Source organism: Homo sapiens, chromosome 4 (genome assembly GCF_000001405.40).
Source record: "Homo sapiens chromosome 4, GRCh38.p14 Primary Assembly".
NCBI lineage: Eukaryota > Metazoa > Chordata > Mammalia > Primates > Hominidae > Homo > Homo sapiens.
Window position 1 is genome coordinate 169,476,832 of NC_000004.12, and position 22,649 is coordinate 169,499,480.

Below are 22,649 nucleotides of genomic sequence, written 5' to 3' on the forward strand. Positions count from 1 at the left end.
TACAGAGTTAAAGTAATGCAATTTAAATATGTATCATTAGTTCCCTCTCTCACACTATACACTTTTGTAATAAAAATCCTTGCTATTAAGGCTGATTAGTTTGATTAGTTTTCTCTGCTCTTCACATTTCACTGTGAGAGGGAGGCACTTCTATTCGCCCAAAAGGAAAATATATAGAATTCTTTCAGCTTCTCTCAATTCTTCTAAGTGTTCATTTTTTTCAGAGTGGTTAGTCTATAAGTTTACATATGTACTAGACCTAAATAGGATATTAATATACTACTATACATACTTTCAGTTGTAGAGAAGGATGTATCTAGTGTTAACTCATCCAGAGGAATCACAAGTTGACCTCCTGCCTCCCACTTCTTGCGATCAGATGAAACTGATTTTTCTTTTTCATGCTCTTTGGCATCTTCATGAACATTTATCTCAAAAGTATCAGAGAGATTCTGCTTTCCTTTTTCATCTTCTTGAGCTTTAAGATTTTCATTTAATCTACGAAGTATTTCTCGCTTACTCTGAAAGTCACGACATTATATATTTTAATATGTATATCATTAAGTAAAATGATTGATAAACTTTGAAAATTTTACTTACTGAAATAGCATTGTTGGTCTTTTGCATCTCTTCTGAAGTTTCCCGGGTATCAGTTAAACTACTGTCCTTTAAATGCAGATAGATACAGAGGAAGAGATAATTTTATTTTTTTAAATCTACCTTTAAAAATATTACATCCTCGTTACTTTTTGGTTTTCATTAATTTGTTCCTTGTAAATTTTTTATTCCTATAAAATGTTAACAAAGCTTCCTTCATTATCAGCAATGACTAACCTTTAAATATTATTAATTAGACAACATAGACAGGGGCCAATTCTCAATTATTTGTCATATTTTTAGATTACTGCTCACATAATTAACTATATCCTCTTCCTCTTTGGTACCTGATTTTTTGGTAATTTAAGTCAGAAAATTAGAGGAAAAAGTAGAAATTAGAGGAAAAAGTAGAAATTAGAGGAAAATTCATATACTCTCTTAATTATAACTAGAAAAAGTTTTGATAGATGAAGTAATTCAAAATAGGCTGTGTTATTCTAAAACTGTCTTTATGTTTCATGTATATATATCCTTGTTAAGCCATAGTACTAAATGTAATTGAGAAGTGGCTTTCCTCCCTAAACAAAGAGTGTAACAAAAATTAGTTCTGAGTCATTTGTACTACAAATGACATAAATGTTATCTCCTAATTAGCATTGTCAAAGCAATCCAGACTATCTAAAATTAAAAAACATACGAAAAGAAGAAATTAGCAGTTACGAAAGCTATGAAAGCAAAGGCATGTAGAAGATTCAAAGAACAATTTTCTAAGTTTTAAGTAAGTGACATTTACCAACACAACACAGAAAGAAAACCGTTCAGTTATATGGATTACCTCGAATTTTGTAATACTTAAAAAAAATTAAAAATTTGGTGGTCAGTTTCAAAGTAATATATGAAGCAATGAGACAAAGAACATTTTACCCAGTAAAGTAGTCAGGAATTAGCAGTCCTACAACCAGAGAGATGAACAGCTATTGAGATGTGAGACTGGGTACCAAGGAGGGACCACACAGTGGTATCTAAAGTTGGAGTAACAACGTGGCACACGCAAAGTCGTTATCAGAAAGAAAAAGTGACTAAGCCTACTTGAAGAACAATAGTTTCTTACATGAAGTTCTTGAGAATGATCAAGAAACTTATATTTTCCTACTGAGTTTTATTTTCAAAATCAACCCAAAGGCTATAAAAAAAAACAGCTAGTGTACCAATTTTGTCTGCAAATATTTACTGAAACTAAACAAATAAAAAGCACAGACATCCATTACCAGGAAAGGGGAAAATGAAGTTATTATGTTATCTGATTCAGTAGACTTTTCTCCTCCTGTCTGTTGAATTCTAGGCCGCAGCTCCACACTATGAGCCCACTTCTCTTAACCCCTGAACAGTCTTCACACTTCAGACAGATACCTGAAATATACTTCTAAGTTTAAGCTTTTTATTTGTCTATGTTTCTTTGTTTTACTATCTGTAGGGCATGACAGAGATTCAGAAGTAGAAGGTAAAAGGAATAACTGATGAATTAACTAGTTCTACTGAGTCCTCTAACATTTGCCATGTCACAAAATTTGAATAAATGTAAATATGTGTTGGACCTAATACCTAGAGCTACTTTAGCACCAAAGAGACATTATTCTTTTTAAAGTGAACATTTGTTAATCATGAGGGTTGGGTAGAAAAATGTTTATAGTATTATTTTCAGTACATTTCTCTGTATATTTTATTTTTTCAATATTCTTTTAAAGTAATATAAGAGTTATTGTGATATATTTTCATCTACCACGTGGTCCTAGATATAAAACTTATAAACAATGAGGCTCCAGTATTCTGAGTAAACTAAAATCCCTTAAAAAGTAATTTTTTTCCTTAGAAAAACCTGAAAGGGACATTAGGGATTAATGTGATTTCATTAAATTTAATTTCCTTTTAAATAATCTTTTGACTTTGAGGAGTTCTGAATCTTAGGAAACTTACCACGCCAACTTCTTTCAAAGCTGAAGTTACAGAAATAACAGATCTCATCTGTTGCTTTGATGGAGAGCCACCTGTTTCATGCTGTCCCAAAGGTGGAGAAACATCAGAACTCTTAACTCCTTTAGCCACCAACTATAAAAAAGGATTTTATTAAATACATTAGGGATTTTATATTTGTATGAAGAAATAAAATGGTACCTACCAGATCACTATTTATCCACTCTATCCACAAGTAGTTTTTTTCATTCCTGAATTATCTGTTGAGCAAGGCATTATGATGCTACATGCTGGGGATACAGCAGTGACTAGAGAAAAAAATCTCTGGTCTCAGATGTACACATAGTCATGTCACATAGTCCTAAATAACCCGCTTTCATTGCATTATCAATGTTTCATGAAATGATCCTGAAAAACTGTCTTTTAAAGATTCAAGTGTAAGATTTTGTTAATCTTACACTTCTAAAAGAAATGCTTTTGTAATTCCTGCAGGTTTGGGTACAATCTTCTCAAAGTTCAAATATCAATTACTCAACATAAGAGCCCTCATAAAAATGCCAACATAAATGAGAATGGAAGGAGAAACAGATCCAGGTAATAAGATTTACTTCACTGAAAACATCATGTTGTATTAACATATGTGCTTGTTTTTATGTTGCCATTTAAACTCTAAACAAAGTAAGATTATGAAACCTGAATTAATACAAGGAAATGACATTTATGGGTATGACAATAGTAACACAGCAGGAAGTTTACTCCCTACTCCCTATTCCTAGTCTTCCTCAATCTAGGAAACAAGACTTTCTGGGGAGTATACATTTCAAACACAATATTTATTGAGTATCTTCTAAAAATACAGTAATAATACAATCTTAATATTTAGGCTTCTAGACCTTCACTTTACAACAATACAGGCATACCTCTGAGATATTACGCACTTGGTTCCAGACCACTGCAATAACGGTAATATTGCAATAAAGTGAGTCACACAAATTCTGGGGTTTCTCAGAGCATACAAAATTTATGTTTACACGATTCTGTAGCCTATTAAGTGTGCAACAGCATTATGTCTAAAAAACAATGTACACACCTTAATAAACACCTCATTCCTAAAAAAAAAAAAAAAAAAAAGCTAATGATTCTTCTGAGCCTTCAATGAATTGTAATTATTTTGCTGGTGGAGGGTCTTGCCTTGATACTGATGGCTACTGACTGATCAGGGTGGTGACTCCTGGATGTTGGGGTGGCTATGACAATTTCTTAAAATAAGACAAAAATGAAGTTTGCTGCATCCATTGACTCTTTCATGAAAATATTCTTTTGATTTTGTAAAAATATTTTTAAAATTCTTTATTATTTAAATAAAGATGAGGTCCACTATATTGCCTAGGCTGGTCTTGAACTTCTGGCTTCAATGACTGTCCTGACTCAGTCTCCCAAAGTGCTGGGATTACAAGCGTAAGCCACTGTGCCCAGCCCATGAAAATATTTATCTGCAGCATGTGATGCTGTTGCATTTTACCCACAGTAGAACTTCTTTCAAAACTGGAGTCAGTCATCTCAAACCCTGCTGTTGCTTTATCGACTAAGTTTACAAAATATTCTAAATCCCTTATCATTTCAACAATGTTCAAAACAGCTTCACCTTCGTAGACTCCACCTCAAGAAACCACTTTATTTGCTCCTCCATAAGAAGCAATTCCTCATCCATTCAAGTTTATCATGAGATTGTAGCAATTCAGTCATATCTTCAGGCTCCCCTTGCCATTCTACTTCTCTTGCTATTTCTACCACATCTACACTGACTTCCTCCACTGAAATCTTGAAGAATGGAGTCAACTTCTTCCAAACTCCTGTTAATGTTGACATTAACATTAACATGACATTAACTCCATGAATCAAAAAAGTTCTGAATGGCATCTAGAATGATGAATGATGAATACTTTTTAGAAGGCTTTCAATTTACTTTGCCCAGATCCATTAGAGGAACCATTATCTATGGCTACAGCCTTAAAAAAATGTATTTCTTAAATAAGAAGACCTGAAAGTCAAAATGACTTCTTGATACATTGGCTGCAGAATGGATGTCGTGTTAGCAGGCATGAAAACAACATGAATCTCTTTGTATAATACATCTCCATCAGAGCTCTTGGGTAACTAGGTGCCTTGTCAATGAGTAGTAATATTTGGAAATAATTTTTTTTTTCTAACCAGTAGGTCTCAACAGTGGGCTTAAAATATTTACAGCAAACCGTGCTGTTAACAGATGTGCAGTCATCCAGGCTTTATTGTTCCATTTATAGAACACAAATAGAATAGATTTAGCATAATTCTTAAGGGTCCTAGGAGTTTCAGAATGGCAAATGAGCACTGGCTTCAACTTAAAGTCACCAGCTGCATTAGCTCCCAACAAGAGAGTCAGCCAGTCTTTTGAAGCTTTGAAGCCAGCTATTGACTTCTCTTTAGCTTTGAAGCCAGGTATTGACTTCTCTTTAGTTATGAGAGTCCTAGATGGCATCTTCTTCCAATAGAAGGCTGTTTTATCTACACTGAAAATCTGTTGTTTAGTATTACCACCTTTATCAATGATCTTAGCTATATCTCCTGGATAATGTACTGCAGTTTCTCCATCAGCACTTACTGCTTTACCTTGCACTTTCATGTTATGGAGGTGGCTTCTTTCCTTAAACCTTATGAACCAATCTCTGCTAGCCAACAATTTTTCTTCTGTAGCTTCCTTATCTCTCCTAGTCTTCACGGAATTGAGGAGAGTTAGGGCCTTGCTCTGGATTAGGCTTTGGCCAAAGAGAATGTTGCGGCTGGTTTGATCTTCTATCTAGACCACTAAAGCTTTCTCCATATCAGCAAGAAGGCTGTTTTGCTTTCTTTCTTTCTTTTTTTTCTAAGAGATGGGGTCTTGCTCTGTCACCCAGGCTGGAGTGCAGATCCAGGCACAATAATAGCTCACTGCAACCTTGAAATCCTAGGCTCAAATGATCATTCTGCCTTAGCTTCTCAATGTGGTTGGGACTATAGGTGTGTGCCACCACATCCAGCTAATTTTTCTTTCTTTCTTTCTTTCTTTTTTTTTTTTTAGAGACAGGTTCTCACTATGTCATCCATGCTAGTCTCAAACTTCTGGCCTCAAGCAATTCTCGTGCCTCAGTCTCCCGAGTTGCTGAGACTACAGGCACCTGGCTGTTTCGCTTTCTTATCATGTGTGTTCACTGGAGTAGAACTTTTTTTTTTTCTGAGATGGAGTCTTGTACTGTCGCCCAGGCTGGAGTGCAATGGGGTGCAATGGCTCAGTGAAACCTCCGCCTCCCTCCTGGATTTACATGATTCTCCTGCCTCAGCCTCCTGAGTAGCTGGGATTACAGGCACACACCACCACGCTCAGCTAATTTTTTGTATTTTTAGTAGAGATGGGGTTCACTATGTTAGCCAGGCTGGTCTCAAACTCCTGATCTCATGATCCACCTGCCTCGGCCTCCCAACATGCTGGGATTACAGGCGTGAGCCACTGCACCTGGTCTGGGGTAGCACTTTTAATTTCCTTCAGGAACTTTTCCTTTGCATTCACAACTTGGATAACTGGCGCAAGAGGCTTAATTCTGTGCCTATCTCAGCTTTCAATATGCCTTCATCACCAAGCTTAATCTTGATTTCAGGTGACAGACATGCAACTCTTTTACTTGAATACTTAAGAGGCCACTGTAAGTCATTAAGTGGCCTAATTTCAATATTATTTTGTCTTAGGGAATAAGATCTGAGGAGTGAGACAGGGGAACTACCAGTCAGTGGAGCAATTAGAACACACACATTCATCAATTAAATTTCCCATCTTATATGGGTGAAGTCTGTGGTGCCTCAGAACAATTACAACAGTAATATCAAAGATATAATGACAATAATGAAAAAGTTTGAAATATGGCAAGAATTACAAAAATGTGACACAAAGACACAAAATGAGCAAAAGCTGTTGGGAAAATGACACTGATAGACTTGCTTGATGCAGGGTTGCCACAAACCTTCAATTTGTAAAAAATGCAGTATTTATGAAGCACAATAAAACAAAGTATGCCTGTATTTATTTTGTTCAAAAAAGGATGGAAACATTGCTTTAGTCCCATAGTTCAGTATTATTGAAAAAGTATACTGATATTTAAGATGTTACTACAAATAGGCCGGGCGCAGTGGCTCACACCTGTAATCCCAGCACTTTGGGAGGCCAAGGCGGGTGGATCACAAGGTCATGAGTTTGAGACCAGTCTGGCCATCATGGTGAAACCCTCTCTCTACTAAAAATACAAAAAATTGGCCGGGCATGGTGGTGTACACCTGTAGTCCCAAGTACTCGGGAGGCTGAGGCAGGAGAATCACTTGAACCCGTGAGGCAGAGGTTGCAGTGAGCCGAGACTGTGCCACTGCACTCCAGCCTGGGCGACAGAGTGAGACTCTGTCTCAAAAAAAAAAAAAAAAAAAGTTACTACAAATAACTTTTAAAAATATCTAGAGCTCACCTAACAGTATTATCACCTTGAAAGATTATATCTAAATATTTTGAAACTTTGTTTGTTTTAATTACTATAGTATATAAATTCAAATAAGGTTTCATACACTGAGAGAATAAAAACAAGCTCCAAAGTTGTTCTGAATAGTAGCAGTATTTTTAGAACAAATATGTTATTTCTCTAGATGATTACTTAAAAGAAATATACTTTGAATGAACACATTCTGCTATTTTTATTTAAATCAGTAATCACTTCTCTACCACATACTAGGATTACAGTTATGTGCCACCATGCCCAGCACATTTTTGTATTTTTAGTAGAAATGGGATTTCACATGTTGGCCAGGCTGGTCTCGAACTCCTGACCCCGTGATCTGCCTGCCTTGGCCTCCCAGAGTGCTGGGATTACAGGCGTGAGCCACCGCGTTTGGCCTGCTATTTCGATACATCAATCTGACACGATTTCTGTGAGAAGACAAATCCACAATATTTGACAAAAATTATCAATAAATTAAAATACATATTAATACCTATTAAGGCCAAGCACAGTTCTAGATAATGATATCCAAAATGAATTAGACACAATATTTTCTCTGAGGGGACTGTAAATTAGAAAAGAAAAAAGAACACATAAATCAATCAGTATGTTACAGAGAAAAAAATAAAGAGATAAGTACTAAACGATCTGGGGAAGAATGAAACAAAAAATATAGAAAGAACTAACTCTGTAAAGCCAAGAGGGGCACCAGTGAGAACAGCCTTCGCAGAGCAGCCAATGGTCAGCCATTCATTGTTCGGGAAGGCCATAAAACACAGATAAAGTAGGACAGTTGTACATTCAAATCCCAAAACACTCACCAGTCCTGTGATTTTTCATTGTTTTTATCCTCTCTGAACCTCACAGTTTTTCTCTAAAATAGAAATGCTGTACTCTTTGCCTCTCTGCTATAGGGATTGCATGAGATAATTTACGTAAAGTACACATCTGTGTACCTAATAAATAGTAGCAATTGTTATTTATTTGGTTTCCATTAAATAAGGTTATTTGGCTTAAACACTACAAGTCTGGTTTTAGTTCCTGATGAAATGTATTAAGTTTCAGAATGCAAGTTTCTCATCTTTAGAATGCAGACTAAAAACAAAAACCTCCTATCTTAACCATGATCAGAAATTAAAATTTGAGCATTGTGAGAGACAAATTTATTGGCACTTTTATAATAATGATCTTCAGCAGCCTTCAGTAAATGCTTATGTTCTATAATCAAATGCATACTGATCTCTCCTCTGAGTCAACTAAACCAAACAGATTAGAAGAACCTAAACAGACAAATTCAGACATGGAATCTAAATAAATGAACAAAGACAGATTACTAACTCTTACAATAACTTAAGAAGACAACTAAGTTACTGAAAATTTATGGGTGGTTCAGGATGACTACTGAAATGTGGCAACATCATTATAAGCTAATGTCATACACTTAAGTAACTTATTAGTACAGTTGAATTGGGCCTTCTGTATAAATATCATGGTGTATTATTTATAATCAGAACCTTAAAGCTTTTCAATATTAACTACATCTTGAGATAAAAGATGATAATGTACTTCTAATTATTGAAAGATAAACCATTACACTAAGCCTTTTATACGGAAAGTTGAGCAAATATGACATATCACAAAAATTAACTAAGCCAGGAAAACAATATAAAGTTTCATATAAGAGAAAAATATAAAAATTTGGAACAAAGAATGACCCAATTTTATTATACAATTGATCACCCAGCTAAATCTATAATATATATTTCATTCTAAACATACTTTTTCACTGGGTGCAATGGCTCACACCTATAATCCCAGCACTCAGGAGGCTGAGGCAGGAGGAGCACTTGAGCCCAGGAGTTTGAGACCCAGTTAATTTTCTTTTTTCTTGTAGAAATGGAGTCTCACCAGACCAGTGAGACTCCATTTGTACAACAAATAAGAACATTAGCTTATGTATGGTGACGTGTGCTAAGGGTCCCAGCTATAGACAGGCTGAGGCAGGAGGATCCCTTGAGCCCAGCAGGTCGAAATTGCAGAGAGCCATGTTCACACCACGGCACTCCAGCCTGAGTGACAGAGCAAGACCCTGTTTCAAAACAAAACAAAACAAACAAAGCACAGTCTTTCAAAGTTTAACCACAGTTTTAAATATAAAAATGTGCAAAAAAAAAGATAAAACATTGACCTGAAAGTTTCATAATTCAGTTTTAAAAGAAATGCTTTAGAAGCTTTTTTTTTCTTAGCCATTTTTCTCACAAGGTTCATAAATTTAAGGCTTTTCAACATTGCTTTTATTGTCACAAAAGGTTTTCAATTATCGCTGTAAAACTGTTTCTACTTCACGTGTCAATTTTGCCATGTGCTGAAAAATTAAGCAGCAGTGCCACCAAATGACGAAACTCAAAATTTCACCAAATAGTGAGGCGAGGCTTACAAACACATGAAACCACCAGTCTGCCTACTCTTGATGTCTGCCTACTCTTGATCAATAACAAACATATTTTCATCTTTATGCTGACTTATTAGTAAGGATTTAATGTATGCTAGGAAAGTATTAAATGACTTAGTTTCATATTTTGAATAGAGTAATTTCACACAGTTTTATACAGCCTAAAGATATATCATGGCCAAATCTTATCAAATTCATATTTAATGTCTCAAAACCTTATCTTTGAAGAACCAATAGTATAAAAGTATTTGTATTTGAATAAATTTTCTTAACTAGTATTGCCATAATGCTTTTATAAGAATATCTAAGAATAAGAACAAGGTAGCCAGAAGCAATGAGTGTGTACACCCTGTGGGGAGCCTTACAGGCGTGCATGGAAAGTCTAAAAATAAGACAAAGATGGAAACAGAAATACACAAGAATTTACATTCAAAATATTTTATCCAACCTAACCAAGACAGAATCTCCCTAATTCTATTTTTCACTGAATTTTAATTCTTAAAACATTGCTACCCTTTTAAAAAACTGAATCGATCTTCCTTACATACTTCATTCACAATATAGCATACGTGATGGCTGAAAACCTAACACTATATTACTTGGCCCTCCCAAAAAAAGGACCCATCATCACATATTGTTCTCCATATCTAAATCCCAATTGGTACTACAATTTTTATCATTAAATATGTCAAAGAGAAAATTTTATAAAATTAGGTATATACTGCCAAAGAATCACAATAGTTAAGGCAGTGATTTTTTTTTCCTTCACTTTTAAGTTCCAGGGTACATGTGCAGAATGTGCAGGCTTGTTATATAGGTAAATGTGTGCCATGGTGGTTTGCTGCACAGATCAACTCATCACCCAGGTATTAAGGCCAGCATCCGTTAGCTATTCTTCCTGATGCTCTCCCTTCCTCCACATCCCTCAAAAGCCCCAATGTGTGTTGTTCCCACCAATGTGTTCATGTATTCTCATCGTTCAGCTCCCACTTATAAGTGATACCATGAGGTGTTTGGTTTTCTGTTCCTGTGTTAGTCTGTTGAGAATAACAGCTTCCAGCTCCATCAATGTCCCTGCAAAGGACATGTTCTTGTTCCTTTCTGTGGCTGCATAGTATTCCATGGTGTATATGTACCGTGTTTTCTTTATCCAGTCTATCACTGATGGAAATCTGGGTTGATTCTATGTCTTTGCTATCGTGAATAGTGCTGCAATGAACATACGCATGCATGTATCTTTATAACAGAATGATTTATATATTTTGGGGTATATACCCAGTAATGGGATTGCTGGGTCAAATGGTGTACCTGCTTCTAGATCTTTGAGGAATCCCCACACTGTCTTCCAAAATGGCTAAACTAATTTACACTCCCACCAACAGTGTAAATGCATTCCTTTTTCTCTGTAACTTTGCCAGCATCTGTTGTTTCTTGATTTTTTAATAATTGCCATTCTGACTGATGTGATATGGTATTTCTCTGTGGTTCTGATTTGCATTTCTCTAATGATCAGAGATGTTGAGCTTTTTTTCATGTTTGTTGGCTGCATGCATGTCTTCTTTTTAAGAAGTGTCTGTTTATGTCCTTTGCCCATTTTTTAATGCGTAAAAATGGACATTTTTGTTTTTTTCTTGTAAATTTGTTTAAGTTCCTTGTAGACTCTGGATATTAGCTCTTTGTCAGATGGATAGATTGCAAAAATTTTCTCCCATTCTGTAGGTTGTCTGTTCACTCTGATGACAGTTTCTTTTGCTGTGCAAAAGCTCTTTAGTTAATTAGATCCCATTTGCCAATTTTTGCTTTTGTCGCTATTGCTTTTGGCATTTCATCATGAAATCTTTATTTGTGCCTGTGTCCTGAACGATACTGCCTAGATTTTCTTCTAGGATTTCTATAGTTTTGGGTTTTACATTTACATCTTTAATCCATCTTGCGTTAACTTTTGTATAAAGTTTAAGGAAGGGGGATCCAGTTTCAATTTTCTGCATATGACTAGCCAGTTCTCCCAGCACCATTTATTAAATAGGAAATCCTTTCCCTATTGCTTGTTTTTGTCAGGTTTTTCAAAGATCAGTTCCGTGTAGGTATGTGGTTTATTTCTGAGTTCTCTATTCTCTTCCATTGTTCTATGTGTCTATTTTTGTACCAGTACCATGCTGGTTTGGTTACAGGGCAGTGATTTTTATCCTTTGTTAGATTGAAAATATTATACTTTTGAGAATCCAAGGAAATATACGTGGTTTTACTGAAGAAAATGCACCAACATACATACTGCCAAACTTTACATTAATATTTTAGGGGGCTTAATAATGCTAGCTTCAATTCTGAATTCCATGTTAACCACTCCTGAGTAACGGTCAATGAGTAAAGATAGATATATGAACACTACCCCCCAATATAACATCTAGATTATGCTATATTAGACTTTCTATTGAAATAATAGTTAAATAACTTTAATCAATTTTTTTTTGTATATTAAGCTGGATCTAAATACTTACATTATGGATACTATTTTTCTATACAATTTAGATAGAGCAACATTAGAGAATATGCCCTTCATCTAGACGAGGAAATAAAGGCCACAAACATTAAGTCAATCTTCAAACAAGCTAATTAATTGGCAAGGCTGAGACCAAAATCAGGTATTCTGATTCCCAGTCTCATTTTTTTCCCACTATACCAGTGTGCATTAAATAAACAGATGTTTCCTGAACATTTCCTTATGCACAGCTCTGGAATATCATGAGACACAGAATTCCCAATGAATTTATTTGTGTTACTATTCACCAGGTACCATGCTGAGCATTTTACGTGGTAAATCAGTTAAGATTCTTTGGTTGAAGGCAATAGAAACTAACTATAGAGGGGCGGAGGGAGGGAGGGAAGGAGGCAGCTAGGTAGCCAGGCAGCCAGGCAAGGAGGGTGGTGACATCAGCAGGATGGCAAATTACAAATGCCTAATGCTCTACCCTCTGCCCCACAAAAAAGGACAAAAACAATGAATTGATAACTGCATTTTGACCAGAGTGACTTAAGAATGTCAGAGAATAGCAAGGGAGTGGCAGAAACCCTGTGAAGCACAGGCTAAGTATGGCCATATACAGAAGGGTGGAGTCATTGTTGTGCTATTCCCTTCCCCAATGCCTAAGTCACAGCTGTGCCCCACCATTCATGGGCCCTTGTTGCTGCTGTACCCAGCCTCACAAAGTCTGGTCCATTGCTATGTCCTGCCATGCCAGAGTCACCACTACAAGGAACCTCCTCTCCTGGTGTCCAAGTTGCCACTATGCCCTACTGGCTCCAGAAACTGAAGTGCAGTTATGCCCTGCTCCCTAGGGTCCAAGCCTCTAGAACATCTCTTCTTCTCCAGACCCATGCCAGTGCTGTGCCCTGACTCTCAGGATCAGAGTCACAGCTATATCCCTGCTACCTGGGCCCAAGCTACTGGGGAATGCCTTAGAGTCAGTCCCCACCTTTGTAGAACAGCTTCATCTACCCATACCTCAGAGAGTGAACTTGTACTCAAGTCACAAGTATCATAGTAATTCAGGAAGACAGTGGGCCCAGGACCCTAGCACCACTGTAGGCTGCTTGTGAGCTCTGCCAAATCTGACAACAAGAAGGATTTCCCCAACAAAGTCTCCCCACGGTACGATAAACAAGAGCAGGAGGACCCCCACTAAAGCCCTTGTCACTGAGAATCCTAATAACCTATGCTGCTACCACTGCTGTCACACACTCCTACAGTCATGGCTAAAGTACCTGCAGCCATTACTCAAATTGATTACAACTGAAGGAGCTGCATGGACACTACACTACCGTGCCTACCTGGAACCAGAGGCAGAACCTCTGCCCTTGAGCCACTGCACCACCACCCACAGAGCCAATGCACCCTGCTCAACTGACCCCCTAGCAATCATCTATAGGTAAAATCATCCCCTACAAAAGCAACTCTATAGATTTGGAAGAGGTCACTGATCCACTAGATGTGCAGTTATCAATGCAAGGACACAAGAAACATGAAAAAGCAGGAAAACATGACACCATCAAAGGAATAATTCTCCAGATAATGACCCCAAAGAAATGGAAATTTACAAATTACCTGATAGAGAAATCAAAGTAATGATCTTACGGAAACTCAGGGATATACAAGAGGATAGACAATTCAATGAAATCAGCAAAATAATCCATGATATGAATCACAAGCTCAATAAAGATATACATAACACAAAAAGAACCAAACAGAAATCTTGGGGCTGAAGAATTCAATGAATGAAATTGTTAAAAACTGAGAGCTTCAACAGCAGACTAGATCAAGCAGAGGAAACAATCTGTGAATTTGAAGATAGGTCTTTTGAAGTTGCCCAGATAGAGAAAAAGTGAAGAAAGCCTATAGGAATTATGGAACACCATGAAAGGAACAAATGTCACAGTATGAGCTCTAGAAAGAGAAGAGATGAGGCCGGGCATGGTGGCTCACGCCTGTAATCCCAGCACTTTGGGAGGCCAAGGCGGGAGGATCACGAGGTCAGGAGATCAAGACCATCCTGGCTAACATGGTGAAGCCCTGTCTCTACTAAAAATACAAAAAATTAGCCAGGTGTGGTGGCATGCGCCTGTAGTCCCAGCTACTTGGGAGGCTGAGGCAGGAGAATCGCTTGAACCCAGGAGGTGGAGGCTGCAGTGAGCCAAGATTACGTCACTGCACTCCAGCAACAGAGGAAGACTCCATCTCAAAAAAAAAAAAAAAAAAAAAAAAAAAGAGAGATGGAGAAAGGCACAGAAGGCTTTTTAAGTGAAGTACTTGCTGAACACTTCCCAAGTCTTGGGAGTGATATGGTCATCCATATCTACAGAAGTTGAAAACTAACAAACAGGTTCAATGCAAAGAGGTCCTCACCAAGGCACTTTATAATTTAAAACATTAAAAGTAAAAGACAAAGAATTTTAAAAGCAGAGGGAGAAGAGCATCAAGCAACATACAAGGGGCTCGCCATTAGACTATCAGCAGATTTCTCAGCAGAAATCTTGCAGGTCAGGAGAGAATGGGATAATATACTCAAGGTGCTAATTAAAAAAACCCTGCCAGCCAACAATACTATACTTAGAAAAGCTGTTTTTCAGAAATAAAATAGAAGTAAAGTCTTTCCCAGATAGACAGAAGCTAAGGGAATTCATCACCTCTAGAACTGATTTACAAGAAATGCTTAAGAGTTCTTCAACCAGAAACAAAAGAACAATAACTACTACCACAAGAACATATCAAAGTATAAAACTCACTGGTAGAGAGGTATTTATATATATTCAAATTCAGAATATTCCATTACTGCAACAATGGTGTGTAAATCTCTCAAATTGCTATTATAAAGGTTAAATGTTGAAACAGTAAAAAACAACTGTAATTGCATTAAGTTGTTATGAAGTCCAAAATGTAAAAAGGTATAAACTGTGACAGCCAAAATAATTGTGAGGAGGGTAAAAGTCTAGAATATCTTCATGTGACAAAGTTAAATTGTTATCAGCTTAAAATAGTCTATTATTACTATAAGATGCTTTGTGTAAGCCTCATGATTAACTACAAAGCAAAAAACTACAGTAGATACACAAATGAGAACGAGAAAGGAATCAAAACTTAGCACATAGCACAAAATCACAAGAGTAGACAATAAGAGAAGAAGAAAGGAACAAAGGACCAAAAAACAACCAGAAAACAATAACAAATGCAGTAGTACGTGCTTACCTATCAATAACAATCTTCAATGTAATTAAGCTCTCCAATCAAAAGATTTAGAATGGATGGAAAAATAAGATTCAGACGCTGCTTCAAGATTGTGACTACGGACATCTCATGCCCGTTCTCCTCAGAAGGAAGATCAAAATTACTGGTAAATCATCAAGTTTTGACAAGGAAACAGAGGGAACAGAGCCAGGACCTGTTGGAGTACCCACGTGAAGAAGATTGGGTGGAGAGAAAGAAAGCAGCAAAAGTCTGGTTGATAGCGACCGCTGAGGAACTCAGAGTCCAGCAGAAACTGTAGGTGGGAGTGTGTCTCTGCTCCCCTCACCCCTCTGACAACACACTGGCTGCTAAACAGCTGGGGAGCCCCTCAGCCCTTGCAAGCCAGGGCAACACTATCGGTGGCGATTAGAGGACTTCCTGAAAACAGAGAACTGGGTGAGCAGCTGACTTAGCCATGCTGCACCCACCTCTGATCCAAACTGAGATGGCAGTTGTCATACCAGTTGTGTACCTGTGGTGCCACTCCCCTTGCTTGTAGATCCTCTGCCCTTGAGCCACTGCACCACCACCCGCAGACATACTACACAACCTACTCTGACTTTGGCAAGTACATGACACCAGCAGATTCTCAGGGAGTTTGGGGTCTCCCACAGATTGAACACTTGGCACAAACTGCCCCTCAAGGAGGAGACAGAGCAGCCTGTCAAAGCCACCAATGGGAAACAGGAAATGTGGGTGCAGCACTAACCACTGAAGGGGGCAGCGCCAATGCCTCGGAACAAACGTGGAGAAGGGGGTCATCTCTCACCTTCTCATCTCGCCAAAGTGCATGATTGTGGACATGGCAGCAGTTCTTTCTGTTGGGGCCCAATGGCCCTTTCTGGGCTTCTCTGGTGGCTCGATGAAAGTGAACAGAGCCTAAATAAATCTGCTGTATCTTACTCTTCGGCACCATCTACTGGACTGCAGCCTGAATTACACCGCCAAGCAAAAACTACAAAAAACAGCATCTGAGAAAGCCACCACACAAACCTACCTGCAACCAAAAAACCCATATGGAGCTTTGGCCCCCTAAAAGCACCCAGAAAAGAAGCCAATCGAGCATACACAACATACATCACAGTTACACCTTCAAGGGGAAAAAAAATAAGTCCCATCCAAATAAACACAAATCCAAAAAAAGAATTGTCAGCTCACTCAGATGAGAAGGAATCAGTGAAAGAACTCTGGAAGTACAAAAAGCCAAGGTGCTTTGTCATCTCCAAAGGATCGTTCTAGCTCCCTAGCCATGGATCCTAAGCAGACTGAAATATCTAAAATGATACATAAAGAACTTGGAATATTGATGGCAAGGAAACTCCACAAGATCTGAGAGGAAGTTGAAATCCAATACAAAGAAGCCAGAAAAATGATCCAGGACATGAAAGATGACATAATGATATTAACAAAGAACCAAACAGAACTTTTGGAATTAAAAAACTCACTATGGGAATTTCAAAATACAGTTGGAAGCCTTAACAACAAACTAGACAAAGCAGAAGAAGAATTTCAGAGCTCAAAGACTGGTCTTTTGAATTAACCCAGTCAGACAAAAATAAAGAGAAAGAATTTAAAAAAGCAAACAAGGCCTTCAAGAAATATAAGATTATGTAAAGCAACCAAACCAATGAATTACTGGCATTCCTGAGAGAGAAAAACAGAAAGTAAGGAAACTGGAAAACATATTTCAGGGTATGATTCTGAAAAATTTCCCCAATCTTCCAAGAGAGGTTGATATGCAGACACAAGAAATTCAGAGAACACCAGTGAGATACTATATAAGATGACCATCACCAAGGCACACAGTCATCAGACAATCCAGGGTCAATGTGAAAGAAACAATCTTAAAGGCAGCTAGAGAAAAGAACCAAATTGCCTCTTTTAAAGGGAATCCCATCAGACTCACAACGGATTTCTTTCTTTTTTTTTTTTTTATACTTTAAGTTTTAGGGAACATGTGCACAACGTGCAGGTTTGTTACATATGTATACATGTAACATGTTTGTGTGCTGCACCCATTAACTCGTCATTTACCTTAGGTATATCTCCTAATGCTATCCCTCCCCACTACCCCCACCCCACAACAGGCCCTGGTGTGTGATGTTCCCCTTCCTGTGTCCATGTGTTCTCATTGTTCAATTCCCACCTATGAGTGAGAACATGCAGTGTTTGGTTTTTGTCCTTGTGATAGTTTGCTGAGAATGATGGTTTCCAGCTTCATCCATGCCCCTACAAAGGACATGAACTCGTCATTTTTGATGGCTGCATAGTATTCCATGGTGTATATGTGCCACATATTCTTAATTCAGTCTATCATTGTTGGACATCTGGGTTGGTTCCAAGTCTTTGCTATTGTGAATAGTGCCGCAATAAACATACGTGTGCTTGTGTCTTTATAGCAGCATGTTATATAATCCTCTGGGTACATACCCAGTAATGGGATGGCTGGGTCAAATGGTATTTCTAGTTCTAGATCCCTGAGGAATCGCCACACTGACTTCCACAATGGTTGAACTACTTTACAGTCCCACCAACACTGTAAAAGTGTTCCTATTTCTCCACATCCTCTCCAGCACCTGTTGTTTCCTCACTTTTTAGTGATTGCCATTCTAACTGGTGTGAGATGGTATCTCATTGTGGTTTTGATTTGCATTTCTCTGATGGCCAGTGATGATGAGCATTTTTTCATGTGTCTTTTGGCTGCAGAAATGTCTTCTTTTGAGAAGCGTCTGTTCATATCCTTCGCCCACTTTGTGATGGCGTTGTTCTTTTCTTGTAAATTTGAGTTCATTGTAGATTCTGGATATTAGGCCTTTGTCAGATGAGTAGGTTGCAAAAATTTTCTCCCATTCTGTAGGTTGCCTGTTCACTCTGATGGTAGTTTCTTTTGCTGTGCAGAAGCTCTTTATTTTAATTAGATCCCATTTGTCAATTTTGGCTTTTGTTGCCATTGCTTTTGGTGTTTTAGACATGAAGTCCTTGCCCATGTCTATGTACTGAATGGTACTGCCTAGGTTTTCTTCTAGGGTTTTTATGGTTTTAGGTCTAACATTTAAGTCTTTTTTTTTTTTTTTTTTTTTTGAGACGGAGTTTCGCTCTGTCGCCCAGGCTGGAGTGCAGTGGCGCGATCTCGACTCACTGCAAGCTCCACCTCCCGGGTTCACGCCATTCTCCTGCCTCAGCCTCCCGTGTAGCTGGGACTACAGGCGCGCGCCACCATGACCAGCTAATTTTTGTATTTTTAGTAGAGACGGGGTTTCACCGTGTTAGCCAGGATGGTCTCGATCTCCTGACCTCGTGATCCGCCCGTCTCGGCCTCCCAAAGTGCTGGGATTACAGGCGTGAGCCACCGTGCCCGGCCCATTTAAGTCTTTAATCCATCTTGAATTAATTTTTGTATAAAGTGTAAAGAAGGGATCCAGTTTCAGCTTTCTACATATGGCTAGCCAGTTTTCCCAGCACCATTTATTAAATAGGGAATCCTTTCCTCATTTTTCGTTTTTGTCAGGTTTGTCAAAGATCAGATAGTTGTAGATATGCAGCATTATTTCTGAGGGCTCTGTTCTGTTCCATTGGTCTATACCTCTGCTTTGGTACCAGTACCATGCTGTTTTGGTTACTGTAGCCTTGTAGTATAGTTTGAAGTCAGGTAGTGTGATGCCTCCAGCTTTGTTCTTTTGGCTTAGGATTGACTTGGCAATGCGGGCTCTTTTTTGGTTCCATGTGAACTTTAAAGTAGTTTTTTCCAATTCTGTGAAGAAAGTCATTGGTAGCTTGATGGGGATGGCATTGAATCTATAAATTACCTTGGGAAGTAGGGCCATTTTCACGATACTGATTCTTCCCACCCATGAGCATGGAATATTCTTCCATTTGTTTGTATCCCCTTTTATTTCATTGAGCAGTGGTTTGTAGTTCTCCTTGAAGAGGTCCTTCACGTCCCTTGTAAGTTGGATTGCTAGGTATTTTATACTCTTTGAAGCAATTGTGAATGGGAGTTCACTCATGATTTGGCTCTCTGTTTGTCTGTTATTGGTGTATAAGACTGCTTGTGATTTTTGCACATTGATTTTGTATCCTGAGACTTTGCTGAAGTTGCCTATCAGCTTAAGGAGATTTTGGGCTGAGACGATGGGGTTTTCTAGATATACAATCATGTCATCTGCAAACAGGGACAATTTGACTTCCTCTTTTCCTAATTGAATACCCTTTATTTCCTTCTCCTGCCTGATTGCCCTGGCCAGAACTTCCAACACTATGTTGAATAGGAGTGGTGAGAGAGGGCATCCCTGTCTTGTGCCAGTTTTCAAAGGGAATGCTTCCAGTTTTTGCCCATTCAGTGTGATATTGGCTGTGGGTTTGTCATAGATAGCTCTTATTATTTTGAGATACGTCCCATCAATACATAATTTATTGAGAGTTTTTAGCATGAAGGGCTGTTGAATTTTGTCAAAGGCCTTTTCTGCATCTATTGAGATAATCATGTGGTTTTTGCCTTTGGTTCTGTTTATATGCTGGATTACGTTTATTGATTTGCGTATGTTGAACCAGCCTTGCATCCCAGGGATGAAGCCCACTTGATCATGGTGGATAAGCTTTTTGATGTGCTGCTGGATTCGGTTTGCCAGTATTTTATTGAGGATTTTTACATCGATGTTCATCAGGGATATTGGTCTAAAATTCTCTTTTTTTGTTGTGTCTCTGCCAGGCTTTGGTATCAGGATGATGTTGGCCTCATAAAATGCGTTAGGGAGGATTCCCTCTTTTTCTATTGATTGGAATAGTTTCAGAAGGAATGGTAACAGCTCCTCCTTGTACCTCTGGTAGAATTCGGCTGTGAATCCATCTGGTCCTGGATTTCTTTTGGTGGGTAAGCTATTAATTATTGCCTCAATTTCAGAGCCTGTTATTGGTCTATTCAGGGATTCAACTTCTTCCTGGTTTAGTCTTGGGAGGGTGTATGTGTCGAGGAATTTATCCATTTCTTCTAGATTTTCTAGTTTATTTGCGTAGAGGTGTTTATAGTATTCTCTGATGGTAGTTTGTATTTCTGTGGGATTGGTGGTGATATCCCCTTTATCATTTTTTATTGCATCTATTTGATTCTTCTCTCTTTTCTTCTTTATTAGTCTTGCTAGCGGTCTATCAATTTTGTTGATCTTTTCAAAAAACCAGCTCCTAGATTCACTGATTTTTTGGAGGGTTTTTTGTGTCTCTATTTCCTTCAGTTCTGCTCTGATCTTAGTTATTTCTTGCCTTCTGCTAGCTTTTGAATGTGTTTGCTCTTGCTCCTCTAGTTCTTTTAATTGTGATGTTAGGGTGTCAATTTTAGATCTTTCCTGCTTTCTCTTGTGGGCACTTAGTGCTATAAATTTCCTTCTACGCACTGCTTTGAGTGTGTCCCAGAGATTCTGGTATGTTGTGTCTTTGTTCTCATTGGTTTCAAAGAATATCTTTATTTCTGCCTTCATTTCATTATGTACCCAGTAGTCATTCAGGAACAGGTTGTTCAGTTTCCACGTAGTTGAGCGGTTTTGAGTGAGTGTCTTAATCCTGAGTTCTAGTCTGATTGCACTGTGGTCTGAGAGATAGTTTGTTATAATTTCTGTTCTTTTACATTTGCTGAGGAGTGCTTTACTTCCAACTATGTGGTCAATTTTGAAATAGGTGTGGTGTGGTGCTGAAAAGAATGTATATTCTGTTGATTTGGGGTGGAGAGTTCTGTAGATGTCTATCAGGTCCCCTTGGTGCAGAGCTGAGTTCAATTCCTGGATATCCTTGTTAACTTTCTGTCTTGTTGATCTGTCTAACGTTGACAATGGGGTGTTAAAGTCTTCCCATTATTATTGTGTGGGAGTCTAAGTCTCTTTGTAGGTCTCTAAGGACTTGCTTTATGAATCTGGGTGCTCCTGTATTGGATGCATATATATTTAGGATAGTTAGCTCTTCTTGTTGAATTGATCCCTTTACAATTATGTAATGGCCTTCTTTGTCTCTTTTGATCTTTGCTGGTTTAAAGTCTTTTATCAGAGACTAGGATTGCAACCCCTGCCTTTTTTTGTTTTCCATTTGCTTGGTAGCTCTTCCTCCATCCCTTTATTTTGAGCCTATGTGTGTCTCTGCACATGAGATGGGTTTCCTGAATACAGCACACTGACGGATCTTGACTCTTTATCCAATTTGCCAGTCTGTGTCTTTTAATTGGAGCATTTAGCCCATTTACATTTAAGGTTAATATTGTTATGTGTGAATTTGATCCCTTCATTATGATGTTAGCTGGTTATTTTGCTCATTAGTTGATGCAGTTTCTTACTAGCCTCGATGGTCTTTACAATTTGGCATGTTTTTTCAGTGGCTGGTACTGGTTGTTCCTTTCCATGTTTAGTGCTTCCTTCTGGAGCTCTTTTAGGGCAGGCCTGGTGGTGACAAAATCTCTCAGCATTTGCTTGTCTGTAAAGTATTTTATTTCTCCTTCACTTATGAAGCTTAGTTTGGCTGGATATGAAATTCTGAGTTGAAAATTCGTTTCTTTAAGAATGTTGAATAATGGCCCCCACTCTCTTCTGGCTTGTAGAGTTTCTGCCTAGAGATCAGCTGTTAGTCTGATGGGCTTCCGTTTGTAGGTAACCCAACCTTTCTCTCTGGCTGCCCTTAACATTTTTTCCTTCATTTCAACTTTGGTGAATCTGACAATTATGTGTCTTGGAGTTGCTCTTCTCGAGGAGTATCTTTGTGGCATTCTCTGTATTTCCTGAATATGAATGTTGGCATGTCTTGCTAGATTGGGGAAGTTCTCCTGGATAATATACTGCAGAGTGTTTTCCAACTTGGTTCCATTCTCCCCATCACTTTCAGGTACACCAATCAGACGTAGATTTGGTCTTTTCACATAGTCCCATAATTCTTGGAGGCTTTGTTTGTTTCTTTTTATTCTTTTTTCTCTAAACTCTTCTCGCTTCATTTCATTCATTTGATCTTCCATCACTGATACCCCTTCTTCCAGTTGACAAATTGGCTACTGAGGCTTGTGCATTCGTCACGTAGTTCTTGTGCCATGATTTTCAGCTCCATCAGGTTCTTTAAGGACTTCTCTACACTGGTTATTCTAGTTAGCCATTCATCTAATTTTTTTTTCAAGGTTTTTAACTTCTTTGCCATGGGTTCGAACTTCCTCCTTTAGCAAGGTGTAGTTTGATCATCTGAAGCCTTCTTCTCTCAACTCGTCAAAGTCATTCTCTGTCCAGCTTTGTTCTGTTGCTGGTGAGGAGCTGCATTCCTTTGGAGGAGGAGAGGCACTCTG

At 38.2% G+C, this 22,649-nt stretch overlaps 1 protein-coding gene across 23 annotated transcripts in view; it reads right to left on the reverse strand.

The window, feature by feature from the left end:
* NEK1 (NIMA related kinase 1) overlaps positions 1–22,649 on the reverse strand; it is a 219,775-nt gene that overhangs the window by 84,023 nt on the left and 113,103 nt on the right. For 21 of the 23 annotated variants that reach the window (NR_164630.1, NM_001440625.1, NM_001440624.1 and 18 more), the window contains 3 exons: positions 2,572–2,703; positions 601–666; positions 293–521 (listed from right to left, as the gene is read on the reverse strand). Coding sequence is in view for 22 of the 23 variants with exons in the window: in NM_001440625.1 (NP_001427554.1) it covers positions 293–521; positions 601–666; positions 2,572–2,703 (427 nt within the window). In the remaining variant the exon portion in view is untranslated. Of the gene's footprint in view, positions 1–292; positions 522–600; positions 667–692; positions 1,550–2,571; positions 2,704–22,649 lie in introns of those variants that run through there. The other 2 variants (XM_011532005.3, XM_047415740.1) reach the window with 2 other exon arrangements.